General features: G+C 54.8%; 1 protein-coding gene across 9 annotated transcripts, besides 5 other annotated features; it reads left to right on the top strand.

Annotated features, from left to right (window-relative positions):
• Nucleotides 1,050-1,099: an enhancer, noted in NCBI's record as "active region_18990". NCBI's record gives its function as "activates an Ori minimal core promoter by ATAC-STARR-seq in GM12878 lymphoblastoid cells {active_cell/tissue: GM12878}" and the evidence as "EXISTENCE:reporter gene assay evidence [ECO:0000049][PMID:35858748]".
• Nucleotides 5,374-5,999: an enhancer, noted in NCBI's record as "H3K27ac hESC enhancer chr22:38452863-38453488 (GRCh37/hg19 assembly coordinates)". NCBI's record gives its function as "activates a minimal SCP1, AML or CMV promoter by ChIP-STARR-seq in naive H9 embryonic stem cells {active_cell/tissue: H9 hESC(naive)}" and the evidence as "EXISTENCE:reporter gene assay evidence [ECO:0000049][PMID:30033119]".
• Nucleotides 5,696-5,755: an enhancer, noted in NCBI's record as "active region_18991". NCBI's record gives its function as "activates an Ori minimal core promoter by ATAC-STARR-seq in GM12878 lymphoblastoid cells {active_cell/tissue: GM12878}" and the evidence as "EXISTENCE:reporter gene assay evidence [ECO:0000049][PMID:35858748]".
• PICK1 (protein interacting with PRKCA 1) lies at nucleotides 5,773-24,219 on the top strand. 9 transcript variants are annotated; one of them, NM_001039583.1, is made up of 13 exons: nucleotides 5,773-6,007; nucleotides 6,271-6,368; nucleotides 7,752-7,863; nucleotides 13,520-13,648; nucleotides 16,222-16,288; nucleotides 17,551-17,640; nucleotides 19,356-19,409; nucleotides 20,200-20,262; nucleotides 20,995-21,128; nucleotides 21,518-21,610; nucleotides 22,291-22,341; nucleotides 22,825-22,969; nucleotides 23,382-24,219. In NM_001039583.1, the coding sequence occupies exons 2-13, from the start codon at nucleotides 6,328-6,330 to the stop codon at nucleotides 23,648-23,650; spliced, it is 1,248 nt and encodes a 415-aa protein (NP_001034672.1). In that variant the 5' UTR covers nucleotides 5,773-6,007; nucleotides 6,271-6,327; the 3' UTR covers nucleotides 23,651-24,219. The 9 variants fall into 9 exon arrangements, with proteins under 9 accessions (NP_001034672.1, NP_001034673.1, XP_047297565.1 ...); NM_001039584.1 differs by having other exon boundaries at nucleotides 5,773-5,954; NM_012407.4 differs by having other exon boundaries at nucleotides 5,922-6,105.
• Nucleotides 6,000-6,623: an enhancer, noted in NCBI's record as "H3K27ac hESC enhancer chr22:38453489-38454112 (GRCh37/hg19 assembly coordinates)". NCBI's record gives its function as "activates a minimal SCP1, AML or CMV promoter by ChIP-STARR-seq in primed H9 embryonic stem cells {active_cell/tissue: H9 hESC(primed)}" and the evidence as "EXISTENCE:reporter gene assay evidence [ECO:0000049][PMID:30033119]".
• Nucleotides 23,478-23,979: an enhancer, noted in NCBI's record as "H3K4me1 hESC enhancer chr22:38470967-38471468 (GRCh37/hg19 assembly coordinates)". NCBI's record gives its function as "activates a minimal SCP1, AML or CMV promoter by ChIP-STARR-seq in naive H9 embryonic stem cells {active_cell/tissue: H9 hESC(naive)}" and the evidence as "EXISTENCE:reporter gene assay evidence [ECO:0000049][PMID:30033119]".
• Nucleotides 24,220-25,887: the final 1,668 nt, after the last annotated feature.

Here is a 25,887-nt window from a genome sequence, read left to right on the forward strand (position 1 = left end):
GAGGGTGACAGTGCACACCTGCCGCAGAAACGCCCTGCTGCTTCCTCCTGGGTGTCCCTGAGCACTTCCTCAGAGAGACCCTCTCAGAGCGGCACGTCTAAAGAACCCCCTGGGCCAGGCATAGTGGCTCATGCCTGTAATCCCAGCACTTTGGGAGGTCGAGGTGGGTGGATCATCTGAGGTCAGGAGTTCGAGACCAGCCTGACCAACATGGTGAAACCCCATCTCTACAAAAAACACAAAAATTAGCCAGTTGTGGTGGCGCTTGCCTGTAATCCCAGCTACTTGGGAGGCTGAGGCAGGAGAATCACTTGAACTCAGGAGGTGGAGGTTGCAGTGAGCCAAGATCGCGCCACTGCACCCATCACCTTTCCCACCCCTCCATTTTATAAAATCTCTGGTGTCTGCCACCAGCTGGAAGCAGTCAACTCTTTGCTTACCAGTTGATTGCCTGCTCCTCCCACTCACGAGGGCTCTATCAAGGCAGGGCCTTGCTTGTCTCGTTCCCTGGTGTGTGGCCTGGACGTAGTAGGTGCTCAAGAAAAATGTACTGAATGAATGAGTGCGTGAATGAGTGAGCATGTGGGATCACCACACTGCTGTGAGGCTCATGTGAGGAAGGGAATGGAAGCTGCTCGGTTCTGGGCCTGTGCACAGAAGGCACCCAGCCTTAGCTGCCCGGGTCACTGTCGTCTGCTTGACCTGAAAGCCCACACTCTAAATGTCTATGTTGACGACGAACTGAGCTGAATTCCAGCAACCCACTCCGGCTTCTGGACCTTTAAGTAAGGAGGATTGCAGGCCTCGGCTGGGGGACAGCGGTGGCTGCAGAGCGGACAGCCAGGCACAACGCGGGCATGCACAAGACCAGCTCACCCGTCCACAAAGTATACAGACCCCTGAGCTCCACGGCAGCCCTGAGTCAGCAGGTGGCGACAGTGGCAGGTGCGGAAAGCTGGGGGCTCTGTGGCGGGCCGCGTGCTCCAGGAGCTGTCTTTCCTAATGGCCACCGGGTGGCAGCACTTCCCCAGGAATGTGGGCAGCAGAGCCAGCCCTTGTGGATTGAATCTCAGACGGAGCCACAGGGATGGAAGCTTGGAGGGGACCCAGACCCAGGGTCACACAACTTTCAGTGGCAGGGCCAGGCCAGGACAGAGGTCACTTGCCTTGGCGCCTGGACGGACTCAGGAGTAGCCTCAGGGGAGGAGGAGATGCGAGCTGAAGAGGGAGGGTGTGAGCCGCCGCCCTAGCTCAGCCTCCTGGGAGTAGGTGGGTGTCCTCACCCTGATTTCAACCCCTAGAATCCTACCCATCCTGAGGAAGGGGCTCTACCCAGCCCTCCCCTCTGAGGCCCTTGCCAGTCGCTGCCCCCAACTGTCTCCCTCGCCAGACTGCGATTCCCAGGGGCCTGGGACTGTGCCTTGTCCCCTCCACCACCCGCCACGGGAAGCCTTTGCACCTTTCCCTCTTTCCCTTTGCCTGCCTCAGCCTGGGCACCACCAGCACCTCCTCCAGGAAGCCTTCGCTGGCCTTTGGTTGGGCAGGAGCCCCTCCTCCGGGCCCACGCAACACCCTGGATTATCTGGGATGGTGAGGCCCTGGGGACACGGATTGCTGGTGCCTCGCACAGGCCCACCTCAGTGTGCACAGACACTGCATGTTCTCACCTCTGGCACAGTGGTCCTCAAACCGCAGCAGGCATTGGCATCACCCACAGAGCGTTGCGAAAATGCAGCCCCCAAGATCTCCCCTTCCCCAGAGATTCCAATCCAACAGGTCTAAGCTGGAGCCCAGGGATCTGCATTTAAGACACTTCCCAGCCAAGTCTGATGCAGAGGCCTGAGCATCTTAGGGTTCATGAAATGCACCATCGGCCCCGACCTCTGCAGGGGTTCAGCAAAATAGCTATAAACAGAAGGACGATAAAAACCTCTGACATCTGTGCTCTGTGAATCACTCGCAAAACACTTTCACACCTGGTTCTCCTTTTTTGTCTTCCCCTTTTAATTAATTAATTTATTTATTTATCTATTTTTTTGAGACGGAGTCTCACTCTGTTGCCCAGGCTGGAGTGCAGTGGTGCAATCTCGGCTCACTCCAACCTCTGCCTCCCGCATTCAAGCAATTTTCATGCCTCAGCCTCCCAAGTAGCTTGGACTATAGGCGTGTGCCACCACGCCCGGCTAATTTTTTGTATTTTTAGTAGAGACGGGGTTTCGCCATGTTGGCCAGGTTGGTCTTGAACTCCTGACCTCAGGTTATCCACCTGCCTCGGCCTCCCAAAGTGCTGGGATTACAGGCGAGAGCCACTGCGCCCAGCCTGTCTTCCTCTTTTTAACCACTGTCTTGGGAGGATCATCATCCTCACTCCACAGACACCAAGGCTCAGAGACAAAGGGTGACATGTCCAAGGTCCTCCAGCTAAAAGAGTGGAGCTGGGATTTGAGCTGGAGCCACCCTGGGCTAGGGGAGCTCCAATCTCTGTTACAGCTGTTGGGTTTGAAGGATGCTGTTTTTCCAAAACCAAAATTCAGGACCTAGACACGGCCTGGTGATTCCAGCCCTGTGGAGGAAACTCAGGCCACTGCCACTGTCCCTGTTGAGGCCCTCCTCATCTCTTCCCTGAGACACCCAACCCTCTTGACCCCCTCTGCTCATGCAAGTCCTCTCCTCCTGGATCCAGAGAAAGTTTCATCTCATACTAAAGCCGCAGCGATTTCTGCAAGCACCAGATTTGCAGCCAGGTATTGCGCTGGACATCGTGGCCAATTCAGAGAAGGGCAAAACAGAGCACCTGGCCCCGAACCAGGGGCTTCCTGTCCAGCTGGAAAAACAAGAAGTGCTTACTTGGGTGATAGAATAAGGTACTTGAACTTTCTTTTCCCTCAAATAGATTCCTGGTCCCAACCAGACCCCCTCAATTGACTGGGACATGTTCCTCTGCTGTGTGGGCTGATTCCAGTGACCCCCTCTGCTAAAAAAGCTAAGCAGGTTGTGACATTTTCACACCAACAGTATTACAAAGCAATCTGATTTCCTTTTTCTTGTCTGTCACAATGACACCTGTTGATGGATTCTAAGTATACTATGGAAGATGGGGGTGCCAGAGATTAGAAAGTAAGTTGAGAAAAAGGCCAGGTGCAGTGGCTCACAACTGTAATCCTAGCACTTTGGGAGGCTGAGGTGGGTGGATCATCTGAGGTCAGGAGTTCGAGACCAGCTTGATCAACATGGTGAAACCCCGTCTCTACTAAAAATACAAAAAATTAGCCGGGCATGGTGGTGGGCGCCTGTAATCCCAGCTACTCAGGAGGCTGGGGCAGGAGAATCGCCTGAACCCGGGAGGCAGAAGTTGCAGTGAGCTGAGATCGCACCACTTAACTCCAGCCTGGGCGACAAGAGGGAGACTCCATCTCAAAGAAAAAAAAAAAGAAAGAAAGAAAAGAAAAGAAAAGAAAAAAATTGCAAAAATTAGCCAGGCGTAGCTATGAGCTGTAAGCCCCAAATTTAAAGGGGATAAAAACCTTGCCAGACAAAATACAAGCATGTAATAAATTAATCACTGCAGAATTGGCTCAGGAAAACCATGAAGAGATTTCACAAGGCAAATACACAGCAAATTGCTGAACAAATGATTCAAATAGCAACTGCTCAGGAGCTCAGCTCAGAAAAGGGAGCAAGATATATGAGCTGAGATTGTCTGCTAAGGCTGCCGGGAAGAGGTGAATTAGAGCGGAGCCTGCAGGCAAGGGATGAACAAGGCAGAAAACAGGGGCATCTTCCCCAACCTGAGAAGAAGGGCCAGAGTGGGTAGGGGGTTTTGAGGTCAGAGTGACAGCTGTGCCATGCAAATTGTTTACAAAGCACTCACACCTGTTTCTCCTTTTAATCTTTTGTTTCTGAGATGGAGTCTGGCTCTGTCACCCAGGCTGGCATGCAATGGCGCGATCTCGGTTCACTGCAATCTCCGCCACCCGGGTCCAAGCGATTCTCCTGCCTCAGTCTCCTGAGTAGCTGGGATTACAGGTGCATACCACCATGCCTGGCTAATTTTTGCATTTTTAGTAGAGACGGGGTTTCACCATGTTGGCCAGGCTGGTCCAGATATATGATCTAGATCTTATACCAACTCCTGATCTCATGATCCACACTCCTCAGCCTCCCAAAGTGCTGGGATTACAGGCGTGAGCCACCGCGCCCAGCCTCTCCTTTTAATCTTGACTTTCACAAATACCTGGTGGCAGGTGTCATTTCCCCATTCTACACGTACCTGAGGCTCAGAGTGAGACAGCGACTCACCCAAGATCTCCCAGCTACAAAATGGCAGAGCCTGGGCCTGAGCTAGCATGGTCATGGGCTGGAAGAGCCACAATCCATGTTAAGGCACCTGGGTTTGGAGACTGCTGCCTTTTTTTTTTTTGAAACGGAGTCTCTCTCTGTCGCCCAGGCTGGAGTGCAATGGCCTGATCTCGGCTCACTACAACCTCCCTCTCCTATTTTCAAGCGATTCTCCTGCCTCAGGCTCCCAAATAGCTGGAATTACAGGTGTGCGCCACCGCACCTGGCCTTAGACTGCTGCTTTTTGAAACCAAAATTCTGGCCTGGAAACAGAGCTTGGTTTTCCCAGCCCCAGCCCTGCCGCTATGATACCAGAGGAAGAGGCTTCCCAGGGCCTCCGTTTCCTTGCCTGCACAATGTGGCTGGCAAGATTTGGTCTTCTCTCACAGGGTGGTGGTGAGCTTTCAAATCCTGTGAAAGTGATCTCACAGGAGAGCAGTGGACACGTGGGAAGGCTGTTATTGTCACGGCATTCTGCACATCTGTCCGGACTCAATTAGCCACCTAAGGAGAGAGTAGGGCGGGGCTTCCACCGGCCGTGGGATATGTGGATAATCATCCTTCTGTATCTTTCTTCCATGGCTCCTGGGGCAGCTGGGGAAGCAAGCTGGATGGGCCTGGCCCCATGCTGCCGGATGAGGTGGATGCCTGGCTGTGGCTCTGGGAGAGCCAACCTCCCCCAGGGAACCCACTTTACACAATAGCAGTGGCAGCAGAGGCTGGCGAGGAGACAAGATTCGGACTCTGGGGAGCACTGATAGCATTTCCCGAGCCTCAGGTACATGCGGACCGTGACCCTCCCTGGGACCCCAGGGGGGCTGCTCCTCAGGACTAAGGAAGGAGGAGGGGGTGTGAGAAACCTTTCACCATATACCATAGAAAGCATTTACCTCAATGGCCTTGGTTTACATATGGGGAAACTGAGGCACATAAAGGGAAGGGAGCATGTCCAGTCTGTCCTTAATAGCAAGACCCACTGAATACACCTCTCCTGGCTCTCTGTTTAGTGTTTGGACGTTCAAAGATCCCTAGACTAGGCGGCGGGAGTTTCAGGGCCACGATCCAGATCTTACACCAACTGTGTGTGGCCCCGCACAAAATCACTCCCCGCTCTTTGGCACTTAAGTTGGCGAAACTGGGATGGGCTGGGACCTCAAAGGGCCATTCTAGTAGGGGAGTCACAGGCCCAGGTGGTGAAGGGGTGAAAGGGCATGATGTCTTGGGGTTTATAGTCCACTGAGCCTCGCCGGAGGTAACCCCGGCTCAGGGATGCTTTCGTTGCCATGGCAACCGCCGGGCCGGCGCGGGCCCCTGAGTGCAGCTGAGGAAGCTGGGACAAACCCTGCCCTTCCCAAGATGGCGGCGGCGGCAGGGCAAAGGGCGGGGTTAGACGCTGTCAGCCTGTCCAGACCGTTCCTCTGTTTTCGCTTGTTCCTACTAACAGCGAGCTTCCGCCAATACTTGTTCTCGTTCTTGGTTCCGAGCGTCCCGGGAGCCGGGAAGGGAAGGATTGTCTGCAGGGATTGGAGCAAATATCCAGTGGGGGGAAAGCCGGGACTTCCGCGTCTTGCCGGAAGTGACGTGACAATCGCGGCCACCGCCAGGTGGAACGGCAGGTGGGTTCAGGTACCAGCCTGGCCGGGACCCGGCTGTGGGACCAACGCTTCCGGTGAGCGACAGAGGCAGCTCCCCAGGGCCTGGAGACCCGTGGGGCGGACTCTGGGATCTGAGCCTATCGCCCTGGCCTGGAGCCCCCCTTTGTACCTAGTAAGAATCACCTACCCAGCCCCCCACCCGGAGACTGTCCCATCCCACTCCAGAGGGAAGAGGAGGGCACTGCTGTCCCGTATGAGGTGGTGGAGGGAGGGGTGGCGTTGGCATTTAGGCACTTGGGTTCCTTAAATCCTATGCTCCTTTCTCTCCCGGATCCAGTTCCCCATTCCCCTACCGAGCTGGGCAGTTAGCCAGCCCACTCCAACTCTCGGAACCATGTTTGCAGACTTGGATTATGACATCGAAGAGGATAAACTGTGAGTATTTTATTCCCCCAAGTTCCAGCAGTATAGGAGCCCCAAGTTCCTCATTTCCCTGGACTTCCCAGTCCCACAGACCCTTGCTTCTCAGCGGTGGATCAGTTGTTGTACTGAAGCAGCAATGGACCCTGCTCTCCCAGGAGCTCACTATTTGTAGGGGGCTGTGGACAGTTAAAGGGATAATCACAGCTCAGTGCCATAAGGGCACTATTAGCATGACTTGGTGACAAGAAGAGCAAAGCAGATGGAGCAGTGCTTCTGCTGGGATGGTCAAGGAAAGCTTCATGGAGGACGTAGCAATTGAACCAGGTTTTGAAGGTTGAATAGGAATATTGTAGACACCCTTCCTTCCCAACATAGGTTGTTAGTAGGACAGATTTTCCCATTAGAATATATCCTCTTTCAGATCAAGGAGTGGGTGCAATGCCTTTCTCTATGCTCAGCACTTAGTAAGGGACTTGACGTCAGTAGGTTGTTAGCGAATGTTTTTTGAATGAATAAGTGAATCAGCGTGAGTACTTATCATAAAACACCAGTCAATGCTAATTTATAGTGGAAACCGAGAGGTAATCGAGCAGTTGAGAGGTGGGAGGTGGACAGTTTAATAGAGGAAGACTCCCTGGAGTAGGTGGCCATCATACTACATAGATGCCTGATAAGGTGACAAGGACAGAACCTGGCTCAAATCTCAGAGATCGAATAAATGAAAGGGAAGGGGGACCTATTTTTATGGAGTGCCTGCTATGGACTGGGTTGCTGTTAGTGCCCTCCATGCATGGTTAGAAGAACTCTGATAAGGGTGCTCATCCACATTTTATGGATGAGGAAATTGAGATGCACAGAGGCTGACTTACCCAAGTCCCATAGCTGGCCAGGCACGGTGGCTCACGCCTGTAATCCCAGCACTTTGGGAGGCTGAGGCAGGCGGATCAACTGAGGTCAGGAGTTCAAGACCAGCCTGGCCAACATGGTGAAACCCCGTCTCTACTAAAAATACAAAAAAATCAGCCAGGCGTGGTGGCAGGCACCTGTAGTCCCAGCTACTTGGGCGACTGAGGCAGGAGAATCACTTGAACCCGGGAGGCGGAGGTTGCAGTGAGCCGAGATTGCGCCATTGCACTCTAGCCTGGGCAACAAGAGTAAGACTCCATCTCAAAAAAAAACCAAGTTCCACAGCTGATAAATGGCAGAGCTGGGGTTTGATCCCACATCTGCTTAACTCCAAGAGCTGTGCATGTTCCAGCACAAAATGTTGTTTTGTCCAAGGGAGGGAGAGAAAAAGCTGGGCAGCCAGTGGAGCCCCTCAGGAGTTTTAGAGGGCCCACCCGCTCCAGTCATCCTTCTGCCAGGAGAGTCAGCCTAGCTTGCTTTCCTTTCTAGCGGAATCCCGACTGTGCCTGGGAAGGTGACCCTGCAGAAGGATGCTCAGAACCTGATCGGGATCAGCATTGGAGGAGGGGCCCAGTACTGTCCCTGCCTCTATATCGTCCAGGTATTGGGCGCTTTGGAGGGGGGCACAAGGTACATCCCTACTTGGGCATGACAAAGGCAGGTTCATTTCTCCACACTGCATAGCTGACTCCTTCTCATTCTTGAGGTCTGACCCTCTCAGAGGGGCTTTCTGACCACCTGCGCTGCGTTGCTCTGCCCTGTCTTCTCCCCTGTGTCGCTCTGTTTTTTTCCTTCTCGGCACTTATTACTTGTTATTTGCCCTCTGTCTAGTAGAGTAGACTCTTTGCACTGAGGGCAGTGTCCTGGTTTGCTTTTTCACTGCAGTAAGCACCAGGTACAGTGCCTGGCACATAGTGGACATGCAATAGAAATTGACTATTGAATCAACAAAACCATCAGCCTTGCGTACTAGCCAAAATGAAGTGTCATAGGAACACGATGAAATAATGGCCTGAGTTCAAATGCAAGCTTCTTTCCTACTTACTAGCAAGTTACTTAACCTCTTTGGGCCTCAGTTTCATCACCTAGAAAGCGGGGATTTAAAACATGTAGACACAATCATCTCTGGGTTCTTGTGAGAAGTCAACAAAACGACCTAACACACTAGAAGTTAAGAAACGTGCATTGGCCAGGCATAGTGGCTCACACCTGTAATCCCAGCACTTTGGGAGGCCGAGGTGGGTGGATCACGAGGTCAGGAGTTCGAGACCAGCCTGGCCAACATGGTGAAACCCCGTCTCTACTAAAATACAAAAATTAGCTGGGCGTGGTGGTGCACGCCTGTACTTCCAGCTACTTGGGAGGCTGAAGTAGGAGAATCGCTTGAACCTGGAAAGTAGAGGTTGCAGTGAGCTGAGATCACGCCACTGCATTCCGTGCATTCCAGCCTGGGTGACCGAGTGAGACCCTGTTTCAAAAAAAAGAAAGAACCATGCATTAAGCAGTAGCTGCTGCTATTTTCCAGGTAGCTGTACATTTTCCCAGATGCTCTGCCAGTGGTGAGGAACACTCTTGTGTCTCTTGCAGAGGAAGCTGCACTGGTGATATTCTGTCCACTGTAACTCAGGAGTGGTGACAGGCCTGCTGTGGGGCCTCCTTCACTGTGTGGCTCATCCAAGTCAGTGACCTTGCTGTAGCCTTGGGAATACCTGTTCTAACCCTCTCACTGGTGGCAGATGGGAAACTGGCCTCTGTGAGGATCTTGCTCAGGAGTCGCTTGTAGGCCTCGAAGACAGATTCCCAGGATCGACCTGGTCTTGCTTCTGCTCACAGTGCTGCCTCCTTCATGAGCCATTCGGCCTCCTGTGACCCAGGAGGCATTAGCAAGACCTCCCCCAGGCCTGGCCTCCTGGCCGTGTGTCTGCTCAGCCTCTCGCCACCTCCCTCTACCTACCTCAGGTGCAAGTTTGCTTAGAATGAACAGACATCATAAAATAGTATAATTGATTTTTTTTTTTTTTTGAGACAGAGTCTCACTGTGTTGCCCAGGCTGGAGTGCAGTGGCGTGATCTCAGCTCACTGCAACCTCTGCCTCCTGGATTCAAACGATTCTCATGCCTCAGCCTCCCGAGTAGCTGGTATTACAGGTGTGCGCCATCATGCCCAGCTAATTTTCGTATTTGTAGGAGAGAGAGGTTTTAGCTATGTTGGCCGGCCTGGTCTCGAACTCCTGGCCTCAAGCGATCCACCCACCTCAGCCTCCCAAAGTGCTAGGATTACAGGCATGAACCACCAGCCAATAAAATAATAGAACTGGCCGGGTGCGGTGGCTCACACCTGTAATCCCAGCACTTTGGGAGGCTGAGGTGGGCAGATCACCTGAGGTGAAAACTTCCAGACAAGCTTGGCCAACATGGTGAAACCCTGTCTCTACTAAAATACAAAAATTAGCCAGGCATGATGGCGGGTTCCTGTAATCCCAGCTACTTGGGAGGCTGAGACAGGAGAATCGCTTGAACCCGGGAGATGGTGGTTGCAGTAAGCCGAGATCGTGCCATTGCACTCCAGCCTGGGCAGTTGAGTGAGACTCCGTCTCAAAAATAATAATAATCATCATCATCATAGAATTGATTTTTTTAAATTCAATTTTGTTTTTATCAAAGTGCCATATGACTTGCCTCTACCAAGTCAAGAGCATTAAAAGCCCTGTATCAAATAATAGCAATCCACTGCCCTTCCCCTGGGCACCTCACCCGGCTTTCTCTGTCTCTTCATGCATGGGCTTCCATTTTTCTCAATAGTCTCACTCTGTCGCCCAGGCTGGAGTGCAGTGGTGCAAGCATGGGTCACTGCAGCCTTGATTTCCCCAGACTCAGATGATTCTCCCACTTGAGCCTCCAAGTAGCTGGGATTACAGGCACGTGCCACCAAACCTGGCTAATTTTTGTGTATTTTTTGTAGAGACGGTGTTTTGCCATGTTGCCCAGGCTTGTCTCAAACTCTTGGGTTCAAGTGATCCACCCGCCTCAGCCTCCCAAAGTGCTGGGATTACAGGCGTGAGCCACCGTGCTCAGCCTATCCTGTTGTTTCTTGATCTATCACCTGTAAATATCTATTGACTTTGCCTCGTCTGGTAGATGAGAATTTAGTTCTTCCCATGACCAGTCTGTTTCCTCTCATCCCACCTTTCCAACATAGTTATTTTTCTATTTTTGGCTAAATTAATATTAGTACAACGGAGATTTTGTTCGGGAAATCTTTTCCAGATGCCTCCTAGGCTCTGTTGTAGGCACTAGGGATAAAAGAATAAGAAAGCAAAGATCCTACTCTTGCGGAGCCCTCATTCTAGTCAAAACAACTCTATGTTTAACTTTCTGAGGAATCTATGTTTCTTTTCTTAATTCAGCCTGTTCTTGTGTTTTGAGAGGGTGGGGGTAATTTCCTGTTTTGTTTTTTTCATTTGCACTCTCCTTGTTTTCTCAGTATGTTTTCCACAATTTCCCATCTTTTTTTTTTTTTTTTTAAATTAAGTCTTGCTCTGTTGCCAGGCTGGAGTGCAATGGCGTGATCTTGGCTCACTGCAACCTCCAGCCCCCGGGTTCAAGTGATTCCCCTGCCTCAGCCTCCGAAGTAGCTGGGATTACAGGCACGTGCCACCACGCCTGGCTAATTCTTGTATTTTTAGTAGAGACGGGGTTTCACCATGTTGGTCAGGCTGGTCTCGAACTCCTGACTTCAAGTGATCCACCTGCCTCGACCTCCCAAAGTGCTGGGATTACAGGCGTGAGCCACCATGCCCGGCCCCATTTTCTTCAGTCTGTTTTCCGCCCTGTAGTCTCTCCCCCTTGTGCCCTCCCCCTGCCCCTGCCCCTTCTCTTTGGATTCCCCCATCTTGGGGGTCCCTTTCCTGGTTTACTCCCTGATCTCCCGTGGAGAATATCCTCCTGTAGCTTTCTGAGAAAGGGCACGTGGGATGTCAATTTTTTGAGACCTCGGGTCTGTCTTTTTTGGTCATTGTGGTTCCCATATTCCTTTCAGTTGACATTTTGGCTCATTCGATTCAAGAATGAACGTCAAGGTTGACAGTAATTCCTGTGTGGAAGTGTGATGGCCTTGTCACATTGTCCTTTGCTGTCACATGGCTATTGCCATTCTTATTGGTGATCCTTTATTTGTGATGTGTTTTATTTCTGATCTGTGAGAACTTTGAGGACTTTGTTTTTGTCCCTGGTGTTGGGAGGAGTCGTGATGGTAGCTGCAGGCACAGGCTTTTGTTTATTGTGCCAGATCCTCAGAGGGCGTCATCGGGAACACCATGTCCTTCTTGTCATGTATCTCGATGATGACATCCTGCTTTCTGTATTCTCTGTTCTGCTTTTTTCTATTTTTTTATTGTGGTAAAATTTACCATCTTAACTTTTTTTTTTTTTGAGACAGGATCTTGCTCTGTCGCCCAGGCTGGAGTGCAGGGGTGCGATCATGGCTCACTGCAGCCTCAACCTCCTGGGCTCAAGCGATCCTCCCACCTCAGACCCCCGAGTAGCTGGGACTACAGGCACGCGCCACCATGCCTGGCTCATTTTTGTATTTTTTTTGTAGAGACAGAGTTTTGCCATATTGCCCAGGCGATCTTCCCACCTCGGTTTCCCAAAATGCTGGGATTACAGGTGCGCACCACCGTGCCCAGCCCTTGGTCTATTTTTGAATTAGGTTGTTTGGTTTTTGTTGTTGAGTTTTAAGAATTCTCTACAAAGCACAATCGGCTAAGAGGAAAAAAAGAAAAAAGAGTTTTAGGAATTCTGCATATATTCTGGATATTAATCCCTTATCAAAAATGTGATTTGCAAATATTTTCTCCCATTCTGTGGGTTGCCTTTCTTTTCTTCTCTTCTCTGTTCTTTTTTTTTTTTTTTTTCGAGACAGTGTCTCACTCTGTTGCCCAAGCTGGAGTACAGTGACGGGATCTCAGCTCACTGCAGCCTCTGTTTCCCAGGCTCAAGCGATCCTCCCACCTCAGCCTCCCAAGTAGCTGGGACTACAGGCGTACACCACCATGCCCAGCTAATTTTCGTGTTTTTTGTAGAGACAAGGTTTTGCCACATTGCCCAGACTGGATGGTGTATTTTGATGCACCAGTTTTAAAATTTTTATGAAGTTCAATTTGTTTATTTTTTGTTACTTGGATCTTAGGTGTCACATCCAAGAAATTACTGTAAACTCCAATGTCGTGAAGGTTTTGGACTAGGCATTTTTCTGAGTTTTATAGTTTTAACTTTTACATTTAGGTCTTTGAACAATTTTGAGTTAATTATTATTATTATTATTATCTTCGAGACAGAGTCTCGTTCTGTTGCTCAGGCTGGAGTGCAGTGACATGATCTCGGCTTACTACAACCTCCACTTCCCAGGTTCAAGCGATTCTCCTGCCTCAGCCTTCTGAGTAGCTGGGACTGCAGGCGCCTGCCACCATGCCCAGCTAATTTTTGTATTTTTAGTAGAGATGGGGTTTCGCCATGTTGGCCAGGTTACTCTCGAATTCCTGACCTCAGGTGATCTGCCTGCCTTGGCCTCCCAGAGTGTTGGAATTACAGGTGTGAGCCACTGCGCCTGGCCTTGAGTTAATTTTTGTATGTGGTGTTAAGTAGTGTCAACTTCATTTTTCACATACCATTGTTGAAATGACTGTCCTTCCCCATTGAATGTTCTTGACACCCTTGTCAAAAATCATTTGATGCCGCCGGGCACGGTGGCTCACACCTGTAATCCCAGCACTTTGGGAGGCCAAAGCAGGTGGATCACCTGAGGTCGGGAGTTTGAGACCAGCCTGACCAACATGGAGAAACCCTGTCTCTACTAAAGATACGAAATTAGCCGGGCGTGGTAGCGCATGCCTGTAACCCCAGCTACTCGGGAGGCTGAGGCAGGAGAATTGCTTGAACCCGGGAGGCGGAGGTTGCGGTGAGCGAGATGGCGCTATTGCACTCCAGCCTGGGCAACAAGAGCGAAACGCCGACTCAAAAAAAAGAAATCATTTGACTATGTATTTGAGGCAGGAGAATTGCTGGAGCCCAGGAGTTCAGTGCCACAGTGAGCTGTGATCACGCCACTGCACTCCAGCCCGGGTGGTGAGACGCTTTCTCAAAAAACGAGAGCAGAGGGTAGAGTGGAAGACAGAGCCAGGCAGTGGTCAGGTGTCTTCCCAGGTTCCATCTTAGCCCTCCCTTTCTTCCCCCACCACTCTCCTTATGCACCCACAGGTATTTGACAACACCCCAGCAGCCTTGGACGGCACAGTGGCAGCTGGCGATGAGATCACCGGTGTCAATGGCAGGTCAATCAAAGGGAAAACTAAGGTGGAGGTGGCGAAGATGATTCAGGAGGTGAAGGTAAGGGCTGCTGCAGAGCAGGTGTCCAGAGGCAGCAACACATGTTTCTGAGACCTCCAGGCTGCCAGAGGTCCCAGCAGGCCTGGAAGGGGGTATCAGCCCTCACCGCCCCCTTCCTTGTCATGTGCAGGGTCAGGGTCACACTCCAGCCTCCCTCATCCATCCCTCATTCATTCAATAAATACTAATCGTGCTCCAGGACTTGTGCTGAACCTTGGCAAGAGAGTGGGCAGCAAGACCACAAGGTCCCCATGAGCTCCCAGGGAGCTGACAGACTTGGAACCACCCCTCAGGCAAGCCCATGTGTCCCCAGTCAGTGCCAGAGCTGAAGCTAAAAGTCCAAGGTGATCCTCCCTGGGTCAGTAGACACCCAATAATGTCAGCCGGGTCACGCTGGGCCTGTGAGGGCTAGGAGGGAAAGAAGAGTGCCCTTTCCCCATCCTGTAGGAACTTTCGGTCCCACACAGCCTCCTGGGCTCATAGACACCCAGAGACCCCCCTCCCAGGCCAGCTGATCTTCTGCTCTACAGACCAGAGTCACACACTGCCTGCCCCGCTTTCCCCCACCCCTGCCGCTCCAGGACTGGAATGGCAGGCGGCATCCCGGCCTCTCCTGAAGCGAGCATGCAGCCCCTTTGCCATTTCCTAGCGAAGTGGCTGCTAGCTAGTCTCAGGAAACCAATACTGTGAAAGAACTGATGTGCAGGCAGTGCACAGCCATGGGGTGATTTGAAAGTCTCGGGGGCAAGGGTCCCCACTGTGAGTTCAGCTTGGCCAAGGGTGGCAGCTACCTCCCTCAGCCCCACTTCCATCCTCCGGGTTCTGGCACTCCTGATAGTCCGCCTTCCTGCCTTAACCCAGGCCAGCCGCTGCTCCATCCTCTCTCCCCTTTATCCTCCTGTCCTGCTCCTGAGTAGTCCGTGCTTCTCTCCTTCCTTGCTGTAGGAAGAGTCCCATCCTGCACATTCTCCTATTCCAGCCCCTTTAGCCATAGGACAAATCAGGGCCTGGGGCTGGGGCTCAGAGCTCTGTTGTAAAAAAAGGAAGCAGCAAGGTTCATTGAGACCCCACAGCTGCCACTCCACGTGGTCTGGGTATCACTGCCTCAGGTATGACCTGTTAGGCAGAGGAGCTGATCATGGGAACAGGTGCAGGGGGTCTCGTTCTGGCCGAGTTGGGTTGTGTGTGCCCCATTTGGCAGCCCTTCCCCCCTCCGCATCTCCTCCCCATCTCCACTCGCCAGGTCCCTCCCTGTCCTCTCAGGCTTGGTCATACCAGCACCTCAGGTTGCCCATGAGGACAAGAGCTCTTTGTATTTGCACACAGCCATGACAGGGATGCAGCATTGGCCCAGCTCCCCTGTTTGGGTGCTGGGCAGGGATTACTCTCCCATCTTACAGGTGTCCACAGGCGGGGAGTGACCTGCTTGTGGTCACACAGCTGAACTGGAGCCCGGGCCCGACTCCCACTGCAGCCCGCTTGCCGTTGGCCTACAGCTGCTCCCTGTGGGGTGGCCCCTGAGCACGCCTGTGTTTCATTCTGCGGGAGCAGTTCACACCCCACCTCTGACTCTGATTGCATCTGCTCATTTTGGTTTCCCTTTGGGACTTGATTTTAAAATCCTGTTTTATATTTGGATGAATGTGGTCCCAAGTTCAAGGGCTTTTGGTTTGCAAGGATGAGAGTGAACACAGCGCCCTCCCGTGCTCAGGCAAGTCCTCTTGGGAGAAGCCTTTGTCTCCTGAGCAGTCGTTAGAAAGTGGTTTGTGTAATTCCCTGATTCGCATCAGCCTTGCGGGGCTGGGGCTGCCCCTGCCCCTCCCCTTGGTGCCCCAGCACCAGGCACAGAGCAAGTGCTCAGATGTGCTGTTCGATGAGTAGAGGGATTCCTGGGGATGGGGTGTTTTGGGGTGGAGGAGGGAATAATCAGTGTAGGGAAATGACACGGCAAAGGCTTGGAGTGTGGTTTGCGTGGGGAGGGAAGAAGGAGAGCCTGACCTGGCCGAAGCACAAGACATCAGAGACCGCCAGGCTGTGGGCCCGGTGCCGGCCCTGTCCCCACTGATTCCCCAGGGCTTGGATGTAGAGTAGGAAGGGAGGGGCCTGGGATCAGACAGGGTCACAAGGTGGGGCCATGTCACAGCGCTCAGCCTGGCCCTTACTGGGGCTTAGGATTCTTTTTTTTTTTTTTTTTTTTGAGACAGAATCTCATTCTGTCATCCAGGCTGGAGTGCAATGGTGTGATCTCAGCTCACTGCAACCTCCGCCTCCCAGGTTCAAGTGATTCTTTGCCTCAGCCTCCTGAGCAGCTGGGATTACAGGCACGCGCCACTACGCCCAGCTAATTTTTGTATTTTTAATAGAGATGGGGTTTTGCCATGTTGCCCAAGCTGGTCTCAAACTCCTGACCTCAAGTGATCTGCCTGCCTCAGCCTCCCAAATTGTTGGGATTACAGGTGTGAGCCACCGCACCCGGCCTTGGGCTCAGGAGTCTCAGTCCAGAACAGTCTTGGCTGGGAAGGGGCTCAGGGTGTGGAGCCTCGCTCACTAGTCTGTGTGTGCTGCTCTTCCAGGGGGAGGTGACCATCCACTACAACAAGCTGCAGGCGGACCCCAAGCAGGGCATGTCCCTGGACATTGGTAAGCTGGTCAGAGCAGTTACGGGTGTCCAGCAGCCTCCCTGGATGGGCCCTGGCCCAAAGGAGAAGTGCCACAGCCAGCCCTGCCCTCCCCTTTATGACAGGAGAATCCAGAGTTACATGGCTGTGGGCTCTGACCTCTGACCAAGCAAATCTGAAAGGCCTGGGAGGCCTCCCGGTGCTCTCCCTGCATCTGTTCTTGTACTCTGTCCCTGGTTTCTCACTCCCCCGCGTTTCACCCCTACCTCCCTGCTTCTGCCATCTCCTCTGGGGACTTGCTACCCTAGGGTTGTCCTTTGCAGGCCAGCGCCTCGGCTTCCATGGCCCAGGGCCTCACTCTTCATAAAGGGAGAGCAGCCTAACCCTGGCCTGGCGCCTCATGCCCTCTAGCACAGCGCACTCCTCCCTGGCCTCTCCTGCCATCAGCTCCCAGGGGGACTCTGGATCTGAACTGGACCTCAGGCATTGGGCAGAGGGTCTGCGCCCTGGGACAAGTTCCCTCCTGTTAGAGGGGCTGAGCCTCGGTTCTGTAGAAACTTTAAGACTCAAGAGCTGGACAGCAGCTTCGAGTCCTCTGGACCGGCCGCTTCACATTATGGATCAAAGCCTGAGACCCAGAGAGGGCGCTGCAGCCCCTGGTGAGCGCACACCTAGGTCTCAGCTCTGGAGCCCAGCAATCCCCTTCATACACCCTAGGGCCAGAGGCCAAGGGGCTAAGGGCAGGCTGGATCTATCTGGGAGCTCCCTCCGAAACCCTCTGGTTCCAACACAGGACTAAGTCCCCTTCCTAGGACTAAGCTGGTCAGATGCAGTAACTGAGTCTGGGGTCCGAGCTTCATGGTCATTGATGGTGCCCATTACTTTCACATAACCAGCCCAGGGGCCCCTCTTCTCCCCCTCCCCTTTATGTGACACCCTAGGTCCTGATGTGACACAGAGGAGGGGAAGAGGCCTCCTTGGCTTCCATTAGCCTGTGCTGAGCCCGGGCAGCACTGGGCTCTCAGCAACCAGCAGCTGATGTTGCGTAGCAGGCCCTGGGCGAAGCGCTTCATGTTTAACTGCCCAGGCTGCCAGCACCTCTGTGAAGCAGAGGGAATAGGGCAGGGGCCTAGGACCTCCCCACTGGACATTCCCCACTTCACAGCCACCCCCAGCAGCCCTTCTGCCCCCTGTGGGGTGCTCCCTGTGCATGGAGGTAAGGCTGGGGGCAGGGATGGCCTCTGGGCAGCCACAGACTCACCAGGTCCTTTGTCCCCCGCTCAGTGTTGAAGAAAGTCAAGCACCGGCTGGTGGAGAACATGAGTTCAGGGACCGCAGATGCTCTGGGCCTGAGCCGGGCCATCCTGTGCAATGGTGAGTCCCTTCCCACCCAGCTGGGGCCCCGGGGACTCAAGCCCAGGCTGAGAAGAGTGGGGGGCACCATGGCTGCCCACCAAGCTGCTGTGGGTCCCGCGGGTCTGACCCTGGCCTCTGCCCGTGGAACTGAGAAGTCACCATCTCTGTACCCCCAGAGGCCTCTCCAGCTCCCGGAGGGTCCACAGCTGTCAGCTGGGCTGTCTTAGCCAGTGCCCCTCAGGTCACAGATGGGAAAATAGACTTAGTGTGGGGAGGTGCCTCTGCCCCTGCCCTCAGCCCCTTACCCCTCACCCCAGCACTCTCGCGGCCCACCTCCTGCCTCCTTTGTCCAGGAGGTGGTGCTGCTGCCCTTGCCTCTGCAGGTCCTCCCTTCGTGGTGGCTGCGCAGGCGAGGGGGGAGGCGTGTACATGCACATTTACACACGCATGCACACATGCGCACACACTTTCCCTCCCTGGGGTGGCCAGCGAAACACTCAGTCCCCCTCCTACCGTCGCCAGTCCGAGTTTAAAAATAGCAGCAGCTCTGCAGTGTGCCTGTGGGGTAGATATAAATACTTCTAGAAATTGTAGGCTCAGCTGGGCACACTGGGCTTTATTGGCTAAGGAAGTGGGGGTGGGGACTGAGCTTGTTCCAAATGGTGTACAAAAGTGGCGGCTGCTATTTTCAGCCTCCTGGTGCCGTGCCTATAAATCCCTGTTACTGTAGTTACCAGCCGTTGAGATGAAATTAGAACTGGTTGTTGTGTTTTTCCCCCCAAACCTTGCAATTTCCCTGGCCTTAAATAGGGTTTCTAAAATTGAAGCTGTCATGATGTCCCATGACCCAGCTAAAAACAACAACACGATGCTTACATGGCTCCTTTCCTGCCGCTGGCCAGGTGCTAAGGCTCTGGGGAACCCAGGCCTGGAGGCCACCGGGTGGCCAAAGCCTCCCCAAGACCTCTGAATTGCTCCCTTCCTTCCCCGACAGCCTGTCGCACTGCCACCTCCCTGCCCAGAGAGGCCTGAACACAGCCTCCGCTCCTCCCCTCTTCTGCTAAAAAACCCTGACCCAGGTCAACACAGGAGGCTGGGGAGCAGAGAGCACCTGACTGCCCCACCTCTCCCCTGCAGCCCTCACCATCACACTGCTGTCCATCGCCCGGCCACTGGGCTGGCTTCTCTGCTGGGCTTTCAGCCTTGAGAGCAAGACTTGGCTCAAAGTGAGCCTGACATGGTGGCTGGCACACAGTGGGTGCTCAAGAAACACTAAGCCAATGACTGATCACCAAGGCCTCTTCCCAGTGTGAGCTCTCTCAGCCTTCCTGAATTTCCCCCTCCCTCCCCAAGTTGCGTTTTCCCTTCTGAGCCATCTGTGTGCTTGGGAGGCAGAGACCATGTCCTTCCTGCGCTAGAGGCCTGGCTGCTCCATCTCCATTCCTATGGCCCCTGCCAGCCTTCCTCCCCAGCTGTCAGCAGGCTTTGTGTTAGAAGTGTGGGAGCTTTGCCTGCTAGGCACGGACCCTCCGCTGGCCATGAGGAGGGCCTAGTCATTTACAAAACACCTTTGAACCCAGCTGACCCGAGCTGCCAAATCCCCCTCCCTGGGACCCCTGATCTTTCCCTTCCTGGTTCTCCTCTGGGGTTGCCTCTCCCCTCCCCAGCATGGCCCTGGGCCTCCTGTGGCTTGCTGAGCCCACTGACCTCCCCTCTTCTTTGAATCCCGACAGATGGGCTTGTCAAGAGGCTAGAGGAGCTGGAGCGGACCGCTGAGCTATACAAAGGTGGGTGGGGGGTGGCCTCGTCCTGGCACTAGCTCTACCCCAGGGAGCATGCTCTCAGCAGAGTGGCAACAGGGGTGCTGGCACTAGGAATGCCAGCCTACAAAATACTAGGACCATGGGCATTAAGAGTTCTTAAGAATATATACTTCTTCTGAATTTAAAAATAACTCAGGGGCCTGGTGCAGTGGCTCACGCCTGTAATCCCAGCACTTTGGGAGGCTGAGGTGGGCGGATCACTTAAGGTCAGGAGTTTGAGACCAGCCCGGCCAACATGGTGAAACGCCATCTCTACTGAAAATACAAAAATTAGCCAGGCATGATGGTGTGTGCCTATAATCAGTACTCGAGAGGCTGAGGCATGAGAATCGCTTGAACCAGGGAGGCAGAGGTTGCAGTGAGCCAAGATCACACCACCGCACTCTAGTCTGGGCAATAGAGCAAGACCCTATCTCAAAAAAAACAAAACCTGATACTCATAAAAATTCAGAGAATAGCACTTGTAAACATAGCGAGAGTCCCCCGGAATCCCACACTGTCCCAGGGCTAAAGCCCACAGCAGGCTGTGTACCCCTGCATCTTACAAAATGCTGGCGCCCCTGTCTGATGGGGCTCCTCACGGGTTGGGTCGGACTGAGCTTTTACCCCTGGGCTGTGGTTGGGCGGTGGGGAAAGGCCATGTATCAGGGCCTAGCAGAGGCCTTGGGTGGCATGGGCAATTGGAGGCCTTGCCCTGGGCCAGTGTGGTCCCCGCCATGCGTCCCCATTCCGCATCACTCGGTCTCTCCCACAGGGATGACGGAACACACCAAGAACCTCCTACGGGCCTTTTATGAGCTGTCGCAGACTCACCGGGGTAATGGCATCCCCCAAAGCTGTGGTGTGACCGTGGGCAATCCCTGGGGCCTCTCACTCCCATGCTGAGGTGGGTCAGACCCACAGCGCCTGACCTCAGGCTCCCTCTGGGCTGGGCCTGGTCCCAGGTGCTGGGATTTGCGATGGGCCTGCGGGGAACATCTAGATCAGCTGGTCTCTTAAGGGCCGCAACGATGAACAGGCCCCACCCTGTCTCCTCACACTGCCACTGGCAGTACACAAGGCCCTTGCTTATTTATATTTCTGACAACCTGTAACTCTGGGCAGGCCGACTGCAGCTGACCCCAGCTACTGCAGAAAATGAAGCCCAGACAAAGGAGAGGGCCACACTGCTCCCAAGTGGTGGAGCTGTTGTTCCAATCCAGGTGTCTAGACTCGGACCAGTGTTCTGCCTCAGGCGGCGCCACCTCCACAAACCTTGACCCAGTCTTCTCTCACTGGTCCCTCTGGGGAATGAGGGCCAACTCCCTTGGTGTGTACACTCAGGACTCTAGGGGGCACAGACCAGCTCTTGGAGGTGTCAATCCAGTTTCCTCCAGGTGTAGACTCAGCTCCTTCAGGGGGTTTAGACCAGCTCTCTTGGAGGTGTAGCCCCTGTGCAGACATTGGCTTCCAGCCTGCCAGGCCCCCTGCCCTGCTTCTCCCCAACAAACCCCTGGCTTCTCTTAGGGGGCCAAGTAGGGGCAGCCTTCAAGGCAAACTTGTCCTGCAGCCTTTGGGGACGTGTTCTCCGTGATCGGGGTGCGGGAGCCCCAGCCAGCTGCGAGCGAGGCTTTTGTGAAGTTCGCCGATGCCCACCGCAGCATCGAGAAGTTCGGCATTCGGCTTCTGAAAACCATCAAGCCGGTAGGTCCTATTGAGCATGTGTGTGTCTGGCGTGTGAGGGTGGGGAGGGGAGAGTGTGGCATGCAGAGAAGGTCGTATGCTGGAGTCCTGTGCCTGGGTACAGCCTCTGGCTCAGTCACCCACACAGTGGACTGTGGGTGAGTCACTGTGCCCCCTTGGGCCTTGCCATTGACCTCTGGGCTGGCTTCTGACCCTGGCTCGCCACTGAGTCACAGCTTGCCCTAGGCCTGGCACTAGTCTTCTCATCCTTGAGAGGGACAAGGCATCAGGGAGCACCATCTGGCTCTGATAGTCGAGTCCACCAACAAGGGTGACGCATCAGTGCCATTCATTGTCACCCTGGCACACCCCTGCCGTGACAGCCTCAGCATCCACCCACCCTCTTCCAGATGCTGACGGATCTGAACACGTACCTCAACAAAGCCATCCCGGACACTCGCCTCACCATCAAGAAGTACCTGGACGTGAAGTTTGAGTACCTGGTGAGTAGTCCAGGTGCCCAGGCTGCTAGGGCAAGCGCCCACCCTGGAGATCTGCCCCACTTCAGTCAGCCATGCTGCGGCCAGCGAGGCCAGCCAGAGCTGACAGCATGTCTGCTCCAGGTGTGGGCCCAGAGGCCCAGGGAGGTGCAGCCAAAGCCCTGCTGCGCCTGCACAAAGAAGCATCTGAGAGCCTGGGGCGGGCATGGCTCTCGCTGTGTGCACTCTGACCCCTTGGGATTTGTTGCCTTTAAACAATGGGTTAGACTAGGTGAGTGAGCATAAAATGGGTGTCAGTGAACGTTCGTGAGTTTTACATTTAATTATTCTACAGTCAAAGGAATTGAGAGAAAATGCTCTATTAAGCAAGCCAAGGTTCCTTTGCTGCAGGACTTATCAGAGCCTTTGCTAGGCTGATGTGCAGTGTGAATTTTCAAGGGTCTTCCTAAGCTCCTTTAACGACAGACCCCTTTTTCCCCAGAGCATCTCTTGGGCCTTGAGTTTGGTCAACTCGGCCGCCTAAGCCTCAGGCCCTGTCATCCCTCAGCACCTGCCGCTGCCCGCTCTGGGACTCCCTGAACACCTGCGCCAGCCTCTCCTGCTGCGTGTGGGTGATGGGGGTGGAGCTGGGGACCTGGGGTGGGGGTAGTAGCCACTCTGACAGCCTCACCTGTCCCACACAGTCGTACTGCCTGAAGGTGAAGGAGATGGATGACGAGGAATACAGCTGCATTGTGAGTGTTGGAGGGGGTGGGGGGCTTGTACTTCCCCCCACCTGGTCTGCCAGGGATAGCAGGTGGCTCAGGCCAACCCGGGAGAGACCGGGGGGACTTGGCTGGACTCTCGTTCCTGGAGATTTAGGGCCATCTTCCCAGTCCCGCTCGCTGGGCCTCGGGGTGCTGGGCACCCGGCCGGGAACCACTCCCTCAGTCTGGGGGACTCTTGGAGGGAAATCGGATTTTCTTCACTCCTATGAGGCGCTTTTAAGTGTTTGATTTTTCTGCTGTCGGGATCCATTTCGTGGCCAGTGTTCATTGAATGTGGCAGAGGTTTGGGTTTGGTTTTTTCCTCTCTTCAAAGCTATCACTGAGTGCTTCTGAGAAACACTGAAGTCTCAGAAATGAGGTCTCAGGAATGAAGAACAGCCGTGGCTTTGAAAGCACAGTGCGGTGCGAGGCCGTCCCTGAGCAGGCACTCCTGTCCCACCCCCGCCCCAGGCCCTAGGCGAGCCCCTTTACCGGGTGAGCACCGGCAACTATGAGTACCGCCTGATCCTGCGCTGCCGCCAGGAGGCGCGCGCCCGCTTCTCCCAGATGCGCAAGGATGTGCTGGAGAAGATGGAGCTGCTGGACCAGAAGCACGGTGAGCGCCGCCCTCCTCCCCGTCCGCTCTCCATTTCAGAGGTGGGAAAACTGAGGCCCAGAGGGGTACTCTCAGGGCCAGGCCACGGCCCAGATGTAAAGCCCCTCCAGGAGCCCAGCCATCTGCCCAGAGCCTGGCCTGGGTGGAGCTGGCCTGTGCGCGTGGGCTCCGTGGGCTGCCATCCATGATCCATTTACCCTGCAGCCTCCTGCGTTCCCTGAACTGGGAGCGGGGAGGCCCCGGGCTGGGCGGCCCCTGCCTCCGCCCCTTGCCAGGTCATGAGGGGTCAGGGAAGTGCCCGAGTGGGAAGCCCAGGGGAGGCGAGAGGTGGGCCGGGTGGGCTGGGAGAGTCTCCTCCCTGAGGCAGGCAGCCAGAGCCCACTGCAGCCTGTCCCCCGACCTCCCACCCCAGTCCAGGACATCGTGTTCCAGCTGCAGCGCCTCGTGTCCACCATGTCCAAGTACTACAACGACTGCTACGCAGTGCTGCGGGATGCCGACGTCTTCCCCATCGAGGTAGACCTGGCGCACACCACATTGGCCTATGGCCTCAACCAGGAGGAGTTCACAGATGGGGAGGAGGAGGAGGAGGAGGAAGACACGGCAGCTGGGGAGCCGTCCAGGGATACACGAGGGGCTGCTGGGCCCTTGGACAAGGGTGGAAGCTGGTGTGACTCCTGAGTGCCCCGCGGCTGTGGTGCCGGGGGCAGGGTGCGTGGGAGGACGGAGCCTGGGAGCGGGGCGGGGCCGCCGCGCAAGGGGGCGACGCATAAAGGCCTGCTGGCTTGGGGCGCCTGCCTCCCTGCTCCTCTGTCCTCGCACAGCGAACCTGGGCTCCTGCCCAGGACAGGCACCAGGGTCATGGCCTGGGACCTGGACACTGGCCCCTCCACCCTCCCTCCCCTCCCGGCTCCCCGGCCAGAGGGAGAGCTTGGTCTCTGGACCTGCCTTAGGAAGGAGAGGGAGGGCAGGAAGGAAAAGAAAGGACTTGGAGGTGGCAGGAGTCCGAGCCCTGCTCCTTGTGGGCGCTCACACTGCCCCCGGAGCCTGCTGGGAGTGGGGCCAGCCGTGGACAGCTGAGGTTGGGGTCAATGCCTCCTGGGCACCCTTGCCTCGCCCCAGACCGGCCCGTCCAGTCCCCATCACACCTCGGCGGCCTTTATTTATTCTGTTCCCCCAGCTCGGCCACTTCTCTGAAGGAGGGCTGGGTTCTGGGCCTGTATCGAATAAACACAAACCTGGATGGCGCAGTGGTCGCAGTGGCTTCAGACCCTCCTTGTCTGCCCCTCCCCTCCACCGTCTATTGACAGCGCCCTTGCTATGCACCATTTATGCCTCACTGAAGTGTTGCAGGGCTAGCACTGTGGTCCCCTCACAGCTGGTGATTTGAGGCTCAGAGAAAGATCTTGCCCAAGGCCACGCCCTGTGTGGGGACACAGTGGGTTTTAACTCAGATCTGTCCTGAAGGCCTGACTTTGCCACCTGCCTCCAAAGCTTTCTGCTTTGTGGAACCTTTTGTATCTCACCCCCCGCCCCCTTCCCCCGCCCCCAATCTGTGACCTTTCTGTGCTTCCGACAGGAAATAAACCTCTGGGGGAGAGAAGGGCAGACATGGAGCCAGGGCGACTGAGCCCCCAAGTAGGGGAGGGTGGTGAGGGGTAAGTGCTGACTCCAGGCGCGCCTGTGCTGCCCGGGTGGTGGGGAAAGGCGTGTGGGGAGAGGTGCTCGGGGGCTGTGGGAAGAGGGGCGTGGGGAGAGGCCATGGGGAGTGTCTGCAGAGTGGCAGAAACAGGGTGGCCACTTCTCCTGCTTCTCCTGGCCAGCCTCGGCCTGGTGTAATCAGTCATAGTGGCCCTTGTCACTCTAACGTGTTCCTGTTTGGACGATGAATATGGCCATCCTGAGAATGCGAGGGGGCAACAGGGTGTGCGAGGTGGGCTGAGTCCAGGATGGAAAAAGGGTTTCTGCATCAGCTTTGAGCATGCATTGCTGGGCAGAAACCCAAATGGGAGGCTTGGCAGGGGTGGGACATGGAGGAGGGGCTGGCTGTCACCAGGAGCCCACCTGGGTCCCCGCAGAGCCATCAGACAGACCACACTGCCTCCCTGAAGGGGGCAGCCAGAGTGGAGGCCAAGAGCACAGGCTGGAACTGACAGCCTGGGTTCGTTCCTGACCTCCCTGGGCCTCAATTTCCCTATCTGAAGTGTGGCACCTACCTTATTGGCTTGTTAGGAGATTAAATGAACATCTGGAGAGGGCTTAGAACAGGGCTTGGCACAGAGCAAGCACTCTTAAATCTTAAATAAAGTCAGACGGGCCGGGAGCGGTGGCTCACGCCTGTAATCCCAGCACTTTGGGAGGCCAAGGCGGGCGGATCACGAGGTCAGGAGATCGAGACCATCCTGGCTAACACGGTGAAACCTCGTCTCCACTAAAAATACAAAAAATTAGCCAGGCGTGGTGGCGGGGGCCTGTAGTCCCAGCTGCTGGGGAGGCTGAGACAGGAGAATGGTGTGAACCTGGGAGGCAGAGCTTGCAGTGAGCCGAGATTGTGCCACTGCACTCCAGCCTGGGCAACAGAGCGAGACTCCATTTCAAAAAAATAAATAAAAAATAATAATAATAAAGTCAAACGCAGTCACTGCTCTAGTGGTGCAGGGGAAGCCACAGGCCATATAAGTAGAAGCCGGCCAGGCATCTGTGGGGCTCCCCAGACCTTCCTGGGGCCTAGATGGAAAATGAGGGCCAGCAGGGACCAGTGGGGAGGGGTCACTATGGGCCGGGCTGGAAGGTGAGGGGAGTTTGCGGAGGGAAGGCGGCTTCCTCTGCAGGGGCCTGTTCACCACGCTCATGATTCGGAGGGAGGCAAAGAAAGGAGGGGTGTGATGTATGGGAGGAGGATAAATGCATAGAGGGAA

The sequence above is a fragment of the Homo sapiens genome, chromosome 22 (genome assembly GCF_000001405.40).
Source record: "Homo sapiens chromosome 22, GRCh38.p14 Primary Assembly".
Classification (NCBI taxonomy): domain Eukaryota; kingdom Metazoa; phylum Chordata; class Mammalia; order Primates; family Hominidae; genus Homo; species Homo sapiens.

Bases quoted from the DNA above. Each gene is read 5' to 3' on its own strand.
- PICK1 (NM_001039583.1), top strand. From the start codon at position 6,328: ATGTTTGCAGACTTGGATTATGACATCGAAGAGGATAAACT. The intron at 13,649-16,221 runs GTAAGGGCTGCT...CTGCTCTTCCAG, and splicing joins AGATGATTCAGGAGGTGAAG to GGGGAGGTGACCATCCACTA. The intron at 21,129-21,517 runs GTAGGTCCTATT...ACCCTCTTCCAG, and splicing joins TTCTGAAAACCATCAAGCCG to ATGCTGACGGATCTGAACAC.